The sequence below is a fragment of the Homo sapiens genome, chromosome 4 (genome assembly GCF_000001405.40).
Source record: "Homo sapiens chromosome 4, GRCh38.p14 Primary Assembly".
Taxonomy (NCBI): domain Eukaryota; kingdom Metazoa; phylum Chordata; class Mammalia; order Primates; family Hominidae; genus Homo; species Homo sapiens.
This window is the reverse complement of record NC_000004.12, coordinates 137,812,031-137,830,138: the sequence shown is the minus strand read 5'-3', so window position 1 is coordinate 137,830,138 and position 18,108 is coordinate 137,812,031. Positions and strand designations below refer to the sequence as shown.

The 18,108-nt window shown below is 35.0% G+C and overlaps 1 annotated feature.

Moving 5' to 3' along the window:
* Positions 10,146-10,195: a silencer, noted in NCBI's record as "silent region_15692". NCBI's record gives its function as "represses an Ori minimal core promoter by ATAC-STARR-seq in GM12878 lymphoblastoid cells {active_cell/tissue: GM12878}" and the evidence as "EXISTENCE:reporter gene assay evidence [ECO:0000049][PMID:35858748]".

Below are 18,108 nucleotides of genomic sequence, written 5' to 3'. Positions count from 1 at the left end.
TCTTGTTAAAATGCAAATATTCATCCTCAGTAGATCCAGGATGGGACCAAAGATTCTACCTTTCTAAGTTCCTATGTGGAGCCTCTGTTGCTGATACATAGTTCACACTTCCACTAGTAAGGGTCCAAAGTTTTAAAATGCTCTATGTGCTCTAAGTATATTAGGGGTCTTACAAATCAGTTAGTGAGGTTTATGTTTTCCTCCTATCTAGGTATATACACTGTATCTACTATACTAATTAGTATGTATTCTCAAGAAAGGAAGTCCCCTAATGGAAACACTGTATGAAGGATATCAGAGTAGTAAACCTTTTCCATAAAAAGAAGTTAAGTAGGTAGCTTTATAAATTATCATGATACAACACACACACATATATATAGGCTTAATATTGGATATCCCTTGCCTTAAGTATGTAAATCAGTTTCATCTTGATTTACTGATAGAACCTAATAAGAAAAGAATCATAATAAGATTATCAGCTGTTTACACTCTACTCAAAAATAGAAATGGTGTAATAGAAAAGTGAAAATTGTGAAAGTTAATCTTTTGACAATAGAATGTCATTTATGTGTTTCTACATTGTATGCTAACTCAGTTCTAAATAAAGCAATAGAAACTATAGATAAACATCAACCTCAACCATTTCTTGTATTGCACACCTTGACAACTGCCTACACAAAACTTTTCTGAAGATACTCAGACAATTTGAACCAAAGTAAAAAAAAAGTAATTTTTAAAAAATCATCACAGATCACAAGTGTCCAGTAGGACACTGATCTTAGAAATCTACTGATATCACTTGGTGTCCAAGCAAGATGCTATAATACTGCTATTATCTTAGAAAACTGAAGGAAGCCAAGGAAGTGATGAAGTATAGAATGGTGTCATTTCTTCAAGGCACTCTTCAATAGTAGAATGGGAGTTTTATAATCACTAAAACACAGAGAGGCTGGAGAGAAACAGCTTATTGTTAAGGAGGGCACTGAATCAGTAACAGGTGTTTTAAATCTTTCTGAGTCATTGGTACACCTAAGAGCCAGACTGGTAAGGTATTGGAATTCTGTGACTTACAAGAAAAAAAAAAAACTATGATGTTTACAAGACTGGCCTGATTGAAGTAAATTTTATGTAGCTTATTTCATGATGGGATTTGTGGAATAGTGACGTACCTGTTGTTTACATGTATTCGTATTCTGATTTGAGTTAAGCTCCTATTCCAGTAACTTTAGTAGGTACTAAAAGTGGTGAGTTTTTCCCCTATTCTGTCACTGCCTCCCACTTTGCACGCCTCTGCCAGCTGTGAAATTTGCTGGGGATTTGGCATGGCCACTGGAGGTCATTATTCAGTACCAGATCTTAGAAAGGCCATTTTCCATTTATTTTCTATGGAATGTAATTAAAAGACCAGTGTTTCTTAAAATTTACTGGGAAAGGTTCCCATAGACTTTGGAGGGCATTTTGTCTTTTTTATTAGGTGCAGCTCATCTCACTGAAAAATAAAAAGAAAATATGTCATATTGGAACCAAATTACCCCATTGATAGGGTTTGGCTATTCTGACTTTTTAAAGAAGCAAAGGAAAGAATAGTCTCTATTGAGTTAGCCAACTGAATTCTGCCTAATTTTCAAGTCATCTGGGCAATACAACTTAAAGCACCAAAGGAAGTAACGCATATGTGTTGTGCATTCAGTGTCAGACAATTACAAAGATACAATTTTAAGAAATCGATTTTATTTATTATACTATGGGAGCAATAAAAGCTTTCTGGCTTGAATTTTTTCCTCCCTTCCTCCCTCCTTCCCTCCTTCCCCACTTCCTCTCTGTCCCTTCCTTCCCTTCCTTCCCTTCCCTCCCTTCCCTTCCCCTTCCTTCCTTTTCTTCCTTTCCTTCCCTTCCTTCCCCTTCCTTCCTTTTCTTCCCCTTCCTTCCCTTCCTTCCCCTTCCTTCCTTTTCTTCCCCTTCCTTCCCCTTCCTTCCCTTCCTTCCCCTTCCTTCCCTTTCTTCCCCTTCCTTCCCCTTCCTTCCCTTCCTTCCCCTTCCTTCCCTTCCTTCCCTTCCCTTCCCCTTCCTTCCTTTCCCTTCCTTCCCCTTCCTTCCCTTCCTTCCCCTCCCTTCCCCTTTCTTCCCTTCCTTCCCCTTCCTTCCCCTTCCTTCCCTTCCTTCCCCTCCCTTCCCCTTTCTTCCCTTCCTTCCCCTTCCTTCCCCTTCCTTCCCTTCCTTCCCCTCCCTTCCCCTTTCTTCCCTTCCTTCCCCTCCCTTCCCCTTCCTTCCCTTCCTTCCCTTCCCTTCCCTTCCCCTTCCTTCCCCTTTCTTCCCTTCCTTCCCCTCCCTTCCCCTTCCTTCCCTTCCTTCCCTTCCCTTCCCTTCCCCTTCCTTCCCCTTCCTTCCCTTTCCTTCCCCTTCCTTCCCCTTCCTCCCTTCCTTCCTTCCTTCCTTTCATCTACCTTTAAAGTTAACAGCACCACCCATAACAACCAAGATGCCAGGATATTCCCTAGGTGGAGTTGATCTTTGGATTTAATTTTATTATTTTATTGATAGTATATGGCCTTTCAAGATTCAGCCTCTAAAATATGCCACTATTAAGAAATTCTGGCTGGGCGCGGTGGCTCACTCCTGTAATGCCAGCACTTTGGGAGGCCGAGGTGGGTGGATCACCTGAGGTCAGGAGTTCGAGACCAGCCTGGCCAATATGGCGAAGCCCTATTTCTACTAAAAGTACAAAAATTAGCCTGGCGTAGTGGCAGGCGTCTGTAATCCCAGCTAATCGGGAGGCTGAGGCAGGAGAATCGGTTGAACCCGGGAGGCGGAGGTTGCAGTGAGCTGAGATCATGCCATTGCACTCCAGCCTGGGTAACGAGAGCAAAACTCCGTCTTAAAAAAGAAGAAAGAAAGAAATTTCAAGCCCATCTTGTAATCTGGATGATTGGTAAATGTCTGTCTACATATTCTGTTGCCTCTTTTTTTTTGTAATGTTACATTTTTTCAATTCAATTGAGAAAATACTTATTGAGTGCCAAGAATTTGCACAGCATTTTGCAATGAATGATTGGTGATGCCAAAATGATGAGAGATGTTCTCTGCTAATTTATGGAGCAGATAATTATTTCCCCAAAACCCCAAAATTTATAAGACAAATTCTGAAATGCACAGTAATTATTTATTTCTACATTTGCTAAATTCATGCTATATGAAAGGCATTTTGAAAAGCAATGATCATATTAGACAAAAAGACCCAGGCCTTATCTTTAAATATCACATAATCAAAATTTAGACACACAAAGAAGCACGGAATTAGAGACTATAACAATTGCTATAAAGAACATAGGCACATATACAGTGTGCCTCTGAGCCATATATATATGTGCCTATGTTCTTTATATATATTATCTATATCTATATCTATCTATCTATCATCTATCTATCTATCTATATATAACATGTATTGGGTCTACACATATGTGGCACCATTTCCATGGCAGACAAAAATATCAGATTATAACACTGCTAAGCCTGGACAGAGCTCTTTTACCAGCAGTACTCCAAGCAGTCACTACAGTTTGAGTGACATTGACAGAACAAAGCTATTATCCATTTTTATCTGTATCTATCTATATATCTATCTAGATATGTATCATTCAATCATACAGTGAGTAGATATTAAATCATACCTATCTATTCTGTTGCACACCTTGACAATTGTCTACACAAAACTTCTCTGAGGATACTAAGACAATTTGAATCAATGTAGAAAAAAGTAGTTTCTTTTAAATCATCTCAAATCACACGTGTCCAGTAGGACACTGATCTTAGAAATCTACCAAATATCAATTGGTATAATTCAATATACATATTAATTAAACATGTATAGTACATATTTAAGTATTAAATATATATAATATATATCTAGGTTAATTCACGTGTATATTTAATGATAATTTAACTCTGGTTTAGTTTGCAATGGGACATCTTTACAATTTTTTATCCATATTTTAAAGAAGTGTTGTATTTGTTTCTCTGCACAATCATAGGGCTATATTTTTGCTCCTATTCCCTGTCGAATCAATTGCCAATTCTTATGAATGCTTTTCTTTGTAACACATTAGTTGCCATTCTGTCTGTGAAGTTCTTGATTCCTCATCAATCTAGATCCTCTTATTTTCCCTACTTTATTTCTATGGTGGCCTTCAAATTTTACTCCTTGATTTAATTCCTTTAGTTCTATAATAAATGTCTATTCTACCTCATACATTACTTTCAAATTGAGAAACAAAAGTATCTTTCTATCTCCATAAATTTTAATCTTAACTCTTTAATCTAGCTATTAAGGCCCACCCCAATCACTATAATTTTAACTAACAGCACAGCCAACATGAATTGACTGTAAAGTTTACAAAACACCTTCATATTGTGATCATGATGTCAATCTAGGTAACATGCATTACTTTTCTCTGAAAGATAATGGCTTTCCCTAGGTAACAGGGCAATTGATGACATCTCAAGATAAATTTACGTCTTCTGTTTTCAAGTGTAGATTTTATACAACTAATGTAACACTCATTTAATCAAAATATTAAGCATGCTTTTATGGGAAATCTACTAAAATTTTCCATTAAGGCAGGTGAAGATTTTATTTCTATTCAGCTTAAATTTTCTGCAAAGGTTTTCATGTGTATGTGTGAACTGATTATTAAATAGTCTGTAACTAAATGTCAGCTAAATGTAAACCACCGTGGCATAGCCCTTGCTAACCTCTTCAACTGCATCTCTCATCATTATTCTCCTCTTACTCAAGATACCACCCATACTGAACTACTTTTCGGTTCTAAAAAAGCTTAGCTCCCTCATAAGTGTTTCTCATTTTTTCCACCACCTTCCATACACTTAGGTTTCAAAACTCCATTTGGGCCTCACTTTCCTGCGAATCTTGTCTCCAGTCTGAACTAGGGGGTCCTTTTGTTTCTGTTTACTTTTGCCCACTACACATATCTTTAACACACCTATTATTTTGCTATAGTTTAGTTGCCTTTTAACATCTTAGTTTAGTTTTGTTTTTTTACAAACAGGGTCTCACTGTGTTGCACAGGCTGGGGTGCAGTGGCTATTCACAGCCTGGATCATGGTGCACTGCTGTCTCAAACTCCTGGCTTCAAGCAATCTTCCCCCCCTCAGCCTTCTAAGTAGCTGCGACTATAGATGTGTGCCACTGCACCTGGCTTTTTCTCAATAGGTTTTAACTTGAAAGCAGGAACTGTGCAGCAATGGACACAGTAGTTACTCAATAAAATGTTGTGCAGTGAGTAGATGAACTGCCTCTGTATCGAACCTCTCAAACTTCATATTTTCAAGTTGTGTTCTGCATTAAATTCTTTCATGTTGCTCATGCTTCCTTTGCTGACATTTAAAATGTCTCCTTTTCCCAATTTCATGTATTAATTTCCCTTCTTCCTTTATCACCAGTTCCTAACGTGTGTGACCTACACCTGTGCTATAGCTTCTACTCATTTCTGTTTTAATCCTCTGGAAATCTGGCTTTGAAAACCACCTGGCTGGTGAAATTATTCTCCTAATATCACCACCTGCCTACCCAAATTCAATAACCTTTTCTCAATTCATGTTTTATTAAATCTCTCAAATTCTTTAGACTCTTTGATTGATAAGCCTCTTTATGATTCTTGTTCTTCAGCTCTTCCCTGCTGGTTTCTCTTTCTCCGCAGCTGGCACATTTCCTCCTGATTTATAACTGTGGTTTATACTTGAACATTGGTCCTGTGTCTCCTGCTCTTCTCCTTAAGTATTCACATGATATGGCCCATTTCTCCTCATGGTTTCAAGTACCACTTCTCACATGACTCCCCGACTTCTCACCTTTGCTTCAGTCCCATATGTGCAACTGCTAAACGGCAATATGAGTTTGTCACCCTGACGTTATTTGAAACTCAATGTTTCCTAAGGAAATATTATATTATCTGAAAGCAGTTACCCTTCTGAATATGCCCATTACTGCCAATATAATGTCTTTAGTTTTAGTTTCTTGTACTTGAAAACTTGGAAATGCATAAATTTCTGTTTTTTTTCTTTTACCAATTAGATTCAATTATTCCTAGAGTTTTCTTATATTGATAATAAAATTGTTAATGTTTACTTTTTTGGCCCTTTAATAATTGTTCAGTGACTTATCATTTTCTACTTACTACATTTAAATCATATATGATTTGAATAAAAATCTTGGCTCCTTGTCTAGCTGTATAGCCAAGGGGAGTTGTTTAACTACTCTAAGCCTTGGTTATCTCAATTTGTCAAAATTGACTATAATAGTACCTAGTCATACAAATAATAGTTTATAGAAATATTTTGAGAATTAATACATATAAAATACTTAGCACAATTCCTAACAAGTAAAATCACTCACCAAGTAATAGACATTACCGTATTTCATCTTTTAAATGATACATTTTTTCACATTTTAATGCCTCAATAATCAGATTGTGTTTTATAGCGAATAGTATGTCATAGACTATGTGACAGAGTTCATTTACTCCTGATTGTAAAATAATTGATACACAATAGTGTATCTTTCAATCGATGTTTCTACAATTCAATGAAATAAGGTAATATTATTATTAGTGTTATTATTGCACCAAAAATGAGTACAGTATTAAGTGGATTTTATTACTTTCAACTTAAAAATAATAATATATTGCTGTACACCTACATTTCCTAAACATCACTTTTATCCTTTTACTAGCTGGATAAGGTTTTATGTGGTCCTTTCTCCATGCCTTCAGTTTTTAATATTCTCTAGCACTTAAATTTCCATTAAATATTAGTAGGTTCATTGCTACCTACTATTGCCCCTAGTCTTCATTAATTTGTACAAATTGTTCTCCTTACTCACAGCCCTCTGAAAATTCTCACACCCATTTCCTCTTCCATTCATTTGACCCTGTGACTCCTCTCTATATGAGTCTTCCTTCCCTACCTATTTAAATATTACTCATCCTCATGGATCCGATTTAGTTTCAATAATTTTTCTATTGAAATATTATTGTTAGTTTGAGAAAAGTTTCCAAAAAAGTTAAACTGCTCCACATGTACGTTTTAACATTTTACATACACACACACAGCAGGGTTAAACAATTTCAGAATGTTTTTCTTGTCCCATTGATAGTGTGTGTATTTAATCTTTTTTTCACCTAATGTTACAGCATTGTTATGCCATAGGATAGTTCCCTTCATGAATTTATCTGAAATAATTTTTCTCCCTCCTTGAATCAGAAAAAGGCAGTATCATTGCCTTCTTGCTGCAGTGATTATTCAGACATTTTGCCATTTTTCCAGATACTGTCGTGGTAGGTACCCCTTATCTTTAACATTTCTTTCTGAGGGCCATATAAGGAAGGGCTCAAGCCAAGTGCGAAGGAGACTATCAACCTCTGGTGCACAGCTAACATATCCAGATAGAACTACAGGCTTGGCAGCGGGCAGAAAGCTGGCAGAGGGAACGGAGAGGACACCTGCTCCCTGAGTGATGTTTGTTCCCTAATGAGAACAGAAGAATGGCTACATGTCCTAATTTTGACATTCTGAGTGTCCATGATAAGATGATAGTCAAGCTTTTGGAAAGATAAAACTTAAATATTTTATCTTCAAATATATGTGCAATATGTTTCTAAATGAAATAAATAATGCAAATATCAGGAATTAACTTAAAATTAAGCTATTTGTAGGATTTATTTTAAGAAAAAATATACCTTTGTCTGATTGATATAGACTATTAATTGACTTGGTTTAAAATACTACTGTCCCTCTGAAGATAGGGTTAAATTTTAGCTGGATACAAAATAGATGAAACACTGTGGAAAGTTATTTTGAACAACCAGCCTATATTTATGCATGATAATTATTTATACACTTGATATTTAGTAATGCAAAATAATAAGAAATCGAATGCCAGTGCTTTAGATTGATGTCAACTGTATTGTGTACCCTTAAAAAAGTCAGACTTACTAGAAGCATATTTTAAATGTGTTGTTTTTAAGTAAATATATGCACATTTCTTTATTCACTAAGCTTGCCTAGTCTTATTAATTCAAAACTATGTAAATTATTGTTAAATAATTTAATATCTTCATATTTGATTTATTTTCTTTATATTGCATCCACCCTGTCTTTGATGGGATATAGCTTACCTTGCTAAAACTGACAAAATTCAATCATTTTAATTAACTTCTCTTATTTTTATTTTCCCTCAATCACAGAAATCCTTGAAAATGGCTTTAGGAATATATTGAAATTGTTCTTTAAAAACTCAGTTAGGTCTATCTGTTGTATACATGTATACAGGTTGCCAAAAGGAATTTACTACAATGTAACTGAAAGTTGGTATAATTTGTCCGTTCTTCTTTTAACTCAATATTTCTGATTTTGTGCCTGCAGTATAATTTTGTAGATTAAAACATCAAAATCCTCGTTTTAATTACTTCAAACAGATAAAAGTAGCACAATTTATTTATTATTAAGGAAAAATACATTTTCCTTAAAAATAATTAGAATGCTATATTTATTCTGAGTCTGAGTCTAAAAATGAATCATAGCTATTAGCATGAGCATTGAAGAAAATTAGGAATAAACTATTTTGGAAAAGCCTCTATAAACAGGATATGCTTTCTGCTATGCTCTATATACTCTGTTTCTTTAAGGATCCATTTCACCCCACATGTACATACTCCCTGAAGCTATAATTTATGATGGAGGGTGAATATAAGACCAATGAGCAGTTTGATTATGATGAGAGAGGAGTAAGAGGGAAGAGTACATGCATGGGCACTGAGCTCAGCGTTCCTAATGAGAAGGAGAGAGAAGGGATCAGACTCACCAACAAAAATGAGCACAATAAAAAGATTTGGTATAATCCAAGAATCAGTTTCCTTTACTTCATGATTTTGCTGAGGGAAAAGCATGAGAAAGTCCTATTTACCACTCTTATTAATTGAATTGTATTCCTTTCAAATGATATGCTGAAGCCCTAAACCCCAGAACCTGAGTATGTGACCTTATTTGGAAACAGTGTCATTGCAGATTTAACCAAGTTAAGATGAGGTCACTAAGGTGGCTTTTAATCCAATATGACTATTGTCCTTATACAAAGAGAAAATTCGGACCCAGAGGCAAAAATGCACAGGGAAAAGATGATATGAAGACACAGAGAAAAAATAGCCATGCGATTGGAGTGATACATCTATCTACAAGCGGATAAACTCTAAAGATTGCTGATAAACCAGAAGCTAGAGGTAAGGAAGTATTCTTTTCAGTCACAGAGCAGTTATGGCCCTGCTGATACCTCAATTTTAGGCGTTAGTCTTTAGAACTGTAAGGCATTAAATTTTTGTTTTTTAAAACCACTGTTTTGGCACAGATCTAGCAAACTAATATTTTTTAGTTTCTAAATCATCTTCATGATGACTTACATATTTTTCAGTTTTCACTGGGCTTTTACTCTATGCCTCAGCTCTTAACAGATAACCATGCATTCACTAGTTTTCAAAAAGCCCATTTCATTTGTATCACCATCAATTCAAAGGATAGGAATTTATATTACATCAATGTAAAGAAAAACATGTTAGGGTAAAAATAAAATTATTTCTAATGAAAATAAATTATTTTTATACACATGTTTAGTTAAGATAGCTATGTATTAAAAACTAAAATACACTCAGCTTCCTCACTATCCTGGGTCTCTTCACAGGAAACTCTCTTTTGCCTTGACCTACAGGAGTGCCTGTAGTGAGTGCCTGCAGCGCTAAAGCACTTGAGACCAGCTAGAGACAAAGAATGGGGATGGGGCTAGCAGTAGCCAGAATGTCAGTATGGCTGCTCTCCATTCTCACCAGAGGAAACACAAAATCAGAGAGGCTGTTGAGCAATGCCATGTTTCAGGAAGAATGGTCTATGGGTTGTGTAGGCATGATTCCCTAGCTGGTGTTTCCACATAGCTCAGGTAACTTTCTTGGGTCTCCTCTAGGCCTATCCAAGTTAAATGCTATGCCAACCTCAGAGCCCACAGTAGACTTGCAGCAAACCTGGGTTTAGGGCTCCATCTAGTGCTGAAGAAAAGGCAGTAATCTCAAACTAAGAAACACTGTATCAATCAGCACAGTATGTCTAGACAGAATATAATAAAAAGTTGGACACAAAGCCTATAGCAAAGACTGGAACAAATAGTTTTTAAATTTTTAAATCCATAGACATTGATATATATCCATAAGCGTCAAGAGCAATCAGGAAAATATGACCTCATCAAATGGACAAAACAGGATACCAATGACCATAAAGAAGTGGAAATATGTGAACACTCAGACTAGGAATTCAAAATAGCCGTTTAAAGGAAAGTCAATAAACTCCAAGAAAACACAGAAATAATTCAGAACTTTAAAAATTTAAAAAAGTAATTGAAATTATTAAAAAATCAAATAGACATCAAATAGCTGAAAGATACATTGAACAAACTGAAAAATGCAACAGAGAACATCAACAGCAGAATTGATCAAGCAGAAGAATCCATGAATGCAAAGACAGCCTATTTGAAAACACAGAAGAGGAAAAAGAAAAAAATAATAAAGAGGAATTAAATCTTAAGATATCTATGGGACAACATCTAAAGAGAAAATGTACTAGTCACTGGTATTCAAGAATAAGTGAGGATGACAAAGGGGTAGAAGGAATATTCAAAGAAATAACAAGCAGGAAACTTTCCAAATGTGGAGAAATAAATATCCAGGTATAGATAGGTCAAAGATCACCAGTCAGATTCAACCCAAATAACCCTACTTCAAAGCATAAAATAATCAAACTCTCAAAAGTCACAGACGATGAGTAGATCCTAATACTAGCAAAAGAAAATAATCAAATAACATAAAAGGAAGTTTGAATATTCTTGGAAGCAGACTTCTCAGCAGATACCTTAGAGGACAGGAGGAAGTAAGATGGTATTTTCAAAGTGCTGAAGAAAAAACAAACAAACAAGTAAACAAACAAACAAAACCTCCTAATCAAGAATACTGTACCCAGCAAAGCTATTCCTCAAACATGAAGGAGAAGTAAAGACTTCCCCAGACAAACAAAGCTAATGGAATTCATCACCACCCAACCTGTCTTACAAGAAATTCTAAAGGGAGTTCTTCAACCTGAAACAAATGGATGCTAACCTATAACACAAAAGCAGCTGAAAGTATGAAGATCGCTGGTAAAAGTCAGTACACAGATAAATTCAGAATTTTTTAATATTACAATCATGGCATGTAAACTATATATATAGTTTATATATGGTATATATATATAGTATATATATTTCACTCATACACTATATTTACACATATGAAGATAAGACAAAACTTAAAACTAATAACTATAATAACTTATTAAGAATAGACAACATTAAAAGATATAAATTCTGACATCCAAAATTCAAAATGGGGGAGAATGGAGTAAAAATGCAGATTTTTGCACTTTGGGAGGCCGAGGTGGGCGAATCATCTGAAGTCAGGAGTTTGAGACCAGCCTGGCCAACATGGTGAAACCCCGTCCCCAATAAAAATACAAAAAATTAGCTGGGCGTGGTGGCAGCACCTGTAATCCCAACTACTTGGGAGGCTGAGGCAGGAGAATCACTTGAACCCGGGAGGCCGAGATGGCACCACTGAACTCCAGCCTGGGCAACAGAGCAAGACTCTGTCTTAAAAAAAAAAAAAAGTAGATTTTTTTGTTAATTGTTTTTTGTTTAAAATAGTCTTTTATAACGTTAAGATGTTTTTTGTAAGTCTCATGGTAACCATAAAGTAAAAACTTATAATAGATGCATTTAAAATAAAAAGCAAAAATTTGAAACGTACTACTAGAGAAAATTACTCTACCCCTTTGAATGAAAATGGACTGAATTTTCCAATTAAAAGGCATACAGTGACTGAATGAATAAAAAAAGGTTCACCTATATGTTGCCTACAGGAGGGTCACTTCACCTTAAGAACTTGCATAGACTGAAAGTGAATGGATAGAAAAAGATACTCCATGCAAATGGAAACTGAAAAAGAGCAAGAGTAGCTATACATATATTAGATATAGTAGACTCAAAGACAGTAAAAAAAAAAGACAAGTCCACTATATAAAAAAACACAAAACTAAGACAGTCTATCCTGAGATAATTTTAAAGAGAAAACCTATTCACTAGGCTTAAATGTAAAAATACAACATGGAGAGAAATATGTGATTTTGGACAATTTTTGTAAGCTGCAATTCATTATCTATAAAAAAATTCCTATAACATAAGTGTGTTGTGAGAATTAAATTAGATGATGAAAGTGAACACACTTAGCATGAGGTGATATATGGAATAATTACATAATGTAATTTTATCATTAGTATTCTTATATTTTTCACAACTATGGTGCATTAGGGTTTTGAACTCAGTACTTCTAGGTTTTTGTTTAAAGAAAAACTAAAAGAAAATTCACAAGTCTCTTCAGTTTTTCAATTCTAACGTTTCTAGTTTTATGAAGGTTATTTTCTTATAGAACAATGATTATACTTATGATGAAGTGTCTCTTCCATTGAACCGAGTTCCTTTAAGTGAGTTTATGTACACACCCACACACACATCCATCTTTATCTCCATATGCTATAAAGTGGTTATTAAATCAATGTTAAATAAATGAATGGGGAGATAAAAGCACAAATGAATAGGGATGTGATGGGAACATATTTTTTTAAATAACAATAAAACAAATATTATTGAGGTGTATTAGTTTTAGAGAACTGACATAACAAAGTACCACAGATTGAGTGACTCAAGCAACAGAAATTTATTTTCTCACAGTTCTGGAGGCTAAAAGTGTAAGATCAAGGTGAAGGCAGGTTTGGTTTCTTCTAAGGCCTCTCTCCTAAGCTTGTAGATGGCTGCCTTGTCATTGTCCTCACATGGCCTTTTCTCTGTGTAGCGATCCCTGATGTCTCTCCACCTTCTTATCTCTCCACCTTCTTATAAGGACACCAGTCATATTGTATTAAGACCCACCCATATTATCTCATATAACCTTATTTACCTCTATAAAAGACCTCTATCCAAATACAGTCACTTTCTGAAGTACACTAGGGATTAGGATTTCAATGTATAAATTTAGGGGGATAGGACTGGGCACAATTCAGTCCATACATGAGGGAATTTGTAGAACAATTTATAGTTGATTATACTAATAATATTTTCTCTCTGATTTAGCCATGATACTCTTCACTGCTACAGGTTAAAATAAAGGACAATATTCTCTGGGCCTGTAAATTTTTAATGAACAACTTAGGTGAAATTTACGTAAACTTAGACATCTAACAAGCACGACCTTGAAGGAATGACATATCCAACAATATTTTCTGGAGAAGAGGGTCGAGAAAACTCTGGAGCATAGATGCTAAACGTGAAATGTGAGTCCTAGATGGGACTGACATTTTAGAAGAACGCTATCAGCTATCAAGATATAGAAAATGGTACTGGGCATCTAAGAAAGGAGAGGTTCCTCAGAAGATACTGAGGTCGCACCAAGGTTAGCTCTAATGATATAAGCTCCCAGAAGAAGGAAGAGTTTGTACACTTAGCCCTTTGATCCATCAATTCAACCTGGCTCTCTCTACCTGCTTATATTACTTTTAGCTATAGGCTGAATATATGCAAAAACGATATTCCAAAATACTTTGATCCAAATAGTCTAGGAGTTTATTTCTCCCATAGTTGTTCAGGTAAGGACGACTAGAAAGTTCTGTGTGTTCTTCCAGCTACTGAGGTTCTTCTTAATTATCTTTTTGACCTGCCATCCTGCAGTATTTACAAATATTTAACAACCAGCTTTCCAAGTGTACTTCCAACATGATGAAGTTTTATTTTTCCTTTACATTAAGACAAAAAGTAAAACAATTAAAATACATATTAGACTTTCACTCATTGGTTAATATCATGAGTGGTTTCTTTGTTAAATGAGACAGTATTAGAATGCTGGAAGGCTACTTATTCAATTTTTTGTGCTATTTACAATAGAATGTCTATAGACACAACACATTATAATGTTTAATCTGGATTATTAACATTTTCTTCATTATTATCTTAACTCTAGGAAATCAACAAAACAAGCCTTGATATGTAGCATTTGCTGATTTCTAATTTCTGTGATATAAAGTGCTCCAACCTGGTTGAATTCAAGCTACCAAAGTGACATCATTGAATGTAGAGTTGGGAAGATGTCCTAATAGCATACAATTTATTATCTATTTACAATAGACAGATAATAACATACCATGATATAGTTTTTCCCCATATATAAATAATAAACATTGGTGCACTTTTGAGCACAAAATAATTATGCATTATGTTATATGCAAGGAATATATAAACATATAAGTTAGTTCTCCAGGATTTCACACTCTAGCAAAGTATAATGGTAAGAGATTGTACTTGATAATAAAATGAGCACTGGTGTGAATCTTGATTTTCTACTACCAGCTCTGTGATCTAATAGAATGTAATTAATCCTTCTAAGCCATAATTAATTTCTACATCTGCAAAATGGGAATAATTGTAGAAGTAATTGTAGTTAGGAACTAGCAATCTTCTTTGTGAAGCATTAAGCACAATGTCTGGCATATAGGAAGTGTTATAAACATTAAATTGTATAATTTTTGTTGGATATATGAATTATTCATATATAAGGCCTCCTTGTATACCACTTAAAAGGTAAGGTTACATTAAATATCAGTAAGATCTCATTATAGCTGACAAAGTTTCCATATTTATTTCTATAATCATCCTATAATACATGAAATTCTAATGGTTAATACCAGCCATATTGTTACTTTATTTATTATTGTTGGATATATTATTTCTAGAGGAAAAGAAATTTTACAGACTGAGTTAATAATAGCGGTGGACAACTGTTTTGTAATTGGTAGGACCTCTATAATAATATAGAAACAAGGCTGATAAGGTGGCTGATGTGTTGGGCTACCATATCAGTAACTTATATTCTGATCTTGACTTTACATTTTTTGTCTTATCTTAATGCACGTTCATAAGTTATGAGCATTTCGCTTTTTCCTTCTCATAAAGCATTTTTTTTTCATGGGTGTTATAAGTGTTGTGAGGGCTACCAAATGAGTAAAAATCATTGCTATATATCTTTAAAGCATCTCAAGGAATGGACGAAGCTTCTATCTTAGGGGTCAGAAATTGTAAGGAATACAGATTAAATAATATTTTTCTTGTAGAGTTAACCTCACAGTGATCCTTAAACAGAGCTCATTTAACTCTGAACAAAATTTTCATTACCAGTTTAAATACAGTGATGCTAACCTATTTGTGAACCCTGGTCAGGGCTACTAATCTCATTGTCATTGCTTGTTAAGAACTTACTTTATTCCTATTACTTAGCATGATGACACAAGCTATTTTAATCCATTCACATTTTAACTTAGCAGAGCATACAAGCAAAGCTAACTTGAATTCCAGAAAAAGATCCCAAGTACCTTATTAATGTATTTTTCTCTTAATTGTACAAAAATAAAAAAGTCATGGAAATCAAAAGTAGGACCTTTTTACCTTCGAGGTATTTACTGTAGTTTCAGCATGTATTAGGCATCAATACAGAAAGATTCCTGGACAATACTTGATGAAGTCTACCCCCTCCCATTCCCCATGTTCATAGGAGCATGACCAGCAGACTAACGCAGCAAGCAGATGATGCTCCTGATGAAAAGGGCAGACCCAGTTGAGCCTGGGCTACGCTGACACAGACTTTGTTGCTCTTCATTTGGCAAAGGTAAATCTGAGTTGAGACTTTTCTTTGAAATGGTTGTGTGGCCATAGAGATGAAAAAAAATTATGTTAGCAAAAGTAAAGTAATTTTTTCTTTCTGAATCGTTTATAAAAATCTTCACAGTTAATCAATTTGATTCAGGGAAAAATCATGTATTGTGTATGATTTCCATGTATTTCATCAAATGTTTCATGACCTCTGTTGCCTAAAGGAAAAAAAATAAAGATTTTTCTCTCCACAATGTTTTAAAAATAACTTTCCAGGTTTTATAATATGTAAGAACTCTAATAATTACAAATCAAGTCACTGGATAAAGATGGCATTTGCTAACTTCTCATTCAAACCTACATATGCTGTTTCTAAGGAAAACACTTTGTTGATGTACTCAGACTGCCCAAGTTTCTGAGAAGTCCAAATCTAAAAATATGTGGTTCGATTAGGGTCTTTAATAACTGGTGTGTTTGTGTGTGGGTGCATGCTAATTTTAATGGCTGTCATCTAATTTGTTTTTAAATGTATATTTGACAGGAGTGATTGAATTAGAACAAGGATGCCATGTAAGGATAAAATATATATCCCATATGCTATTTAAGTTGTCTAGTTACAGGATGATGTTAATATCTATTTGTTTCTGAACAAGCTACTTTATTTTATTTAATAGCCTTTGTAATGACTCTATGCCTCTCTTTCTAAATTTGTGAAGTGGCACTTCCTGATGAAGAGCAATTTGTACCCAGTACATATGGAGAGTTATCTGCCTAACACAGATGCCTGAATAGGAATGAAGGAGAATAAGAATAGAAATAGTGGGAAAAATAAGGTCTAATATTTCCAAACAGGAAAACCCAGAAACTATACATGAAAATATAAAAAGTAAAATGCATGCGGCTAAATCTCACATGGCAAAAATGTATAAAACAACATAAGGACTCAAATTTATTTTCATTTTTACTTGAAAATATACATGCACTGGAGTCATGTGGTTACAGGAGCCCAAGGTCTCTCCAGGTGACTTCAAGCTTTCCTTTAAAACAGAATCTAATATTTTGAGAAATCGAAATAAGGATAGTTCCTCATATTTATTTAAAAAATAACAAAAATTAAATCACCTTGAACATCATTATAGATAGCACTTATTCAAAGTTTAATATGTCCTAAACACTTTGCTAGACATTTCAAATCTCTCCCTCATTTGATCCTTACTATCAGGTAGAAACCATGATTATCTCTATGTTACAGCTGAGAAAACTCTTTGAGAGGCAAATAATTTGTGCAGGATCATTTTGGTGTGCAACAGTAAATATGTATCAGTTATCGATTGCAGCAAAGCTTAGTTACATACAACAGACTGGAGGATTTACGTGCTAGGTGGCTGTCTCACAAGGCTTCCAAAATAGTGTTGACTAATGGCTGAGGGCTTGGTTTTTCTCTTTCATGGGTCTCTCCATGGGGTGCCTCCATTTTCTCTACTCACACTATGGTGGTTCGTTCCCAGAAGCAATACCACAAGACACAGGAAGTGGAAGCCTCCACTTTTTAAGCCCTGGCCCCAGAAAATGGCACAGAATCATTTTAGCCATATACTGCTGGTCAACCTGTCACAGAACCTGGGTTTATGGGGAAGAACATAAACCCTAGTATTCAATGGGAGGAATGGCAAAGCATTCGGGGCTCATATTCTTAAACTGCCACGGTATGACATCTTGCCACAAGTTATTTACATTCTCTTCACATGTAAAATACATTTAACCTTTTTCAAACTCCTAAAACATCCTATCTCATTATGAAATTGGTTTCAAGTTCAAAGTCCAGGGTTTCATCACCTAAATCAGATCCATGTGCAGGTGAAGCTCTTGGAATTTGGCTCCTACGGGACAGCCCGTTGAGTATGGTTCTCCTAATCTAAAGATCTGGGAACTAAAGAAACAAGTTATCTTCTCCCCAACACACATGAAGGAGAAAAAATGGCTGATTTTGTGAGTTTAAACAAAAAAGGAGAAATATCTTGGTATAAACATGCTAGAGGAAAAGCTCTAAAAGCATAGTGAATTTTAAAGTAAATTTCACTGAAAGTTTTAAAGTATAAGAGGAAGGAAGGAGAGAATGGGAAAGCAGGGTGGAAAGGGTTTTATTCTTATCCCAAATGAGGCAGAGAGATTATGGGTTAGAATAGAACAGGGGAACAGGCATAAGATAATTTCCATAAACATTCTCATTAAAAGGGAATAACAGGAGGTACACAGCAGTCACTGGTACATGT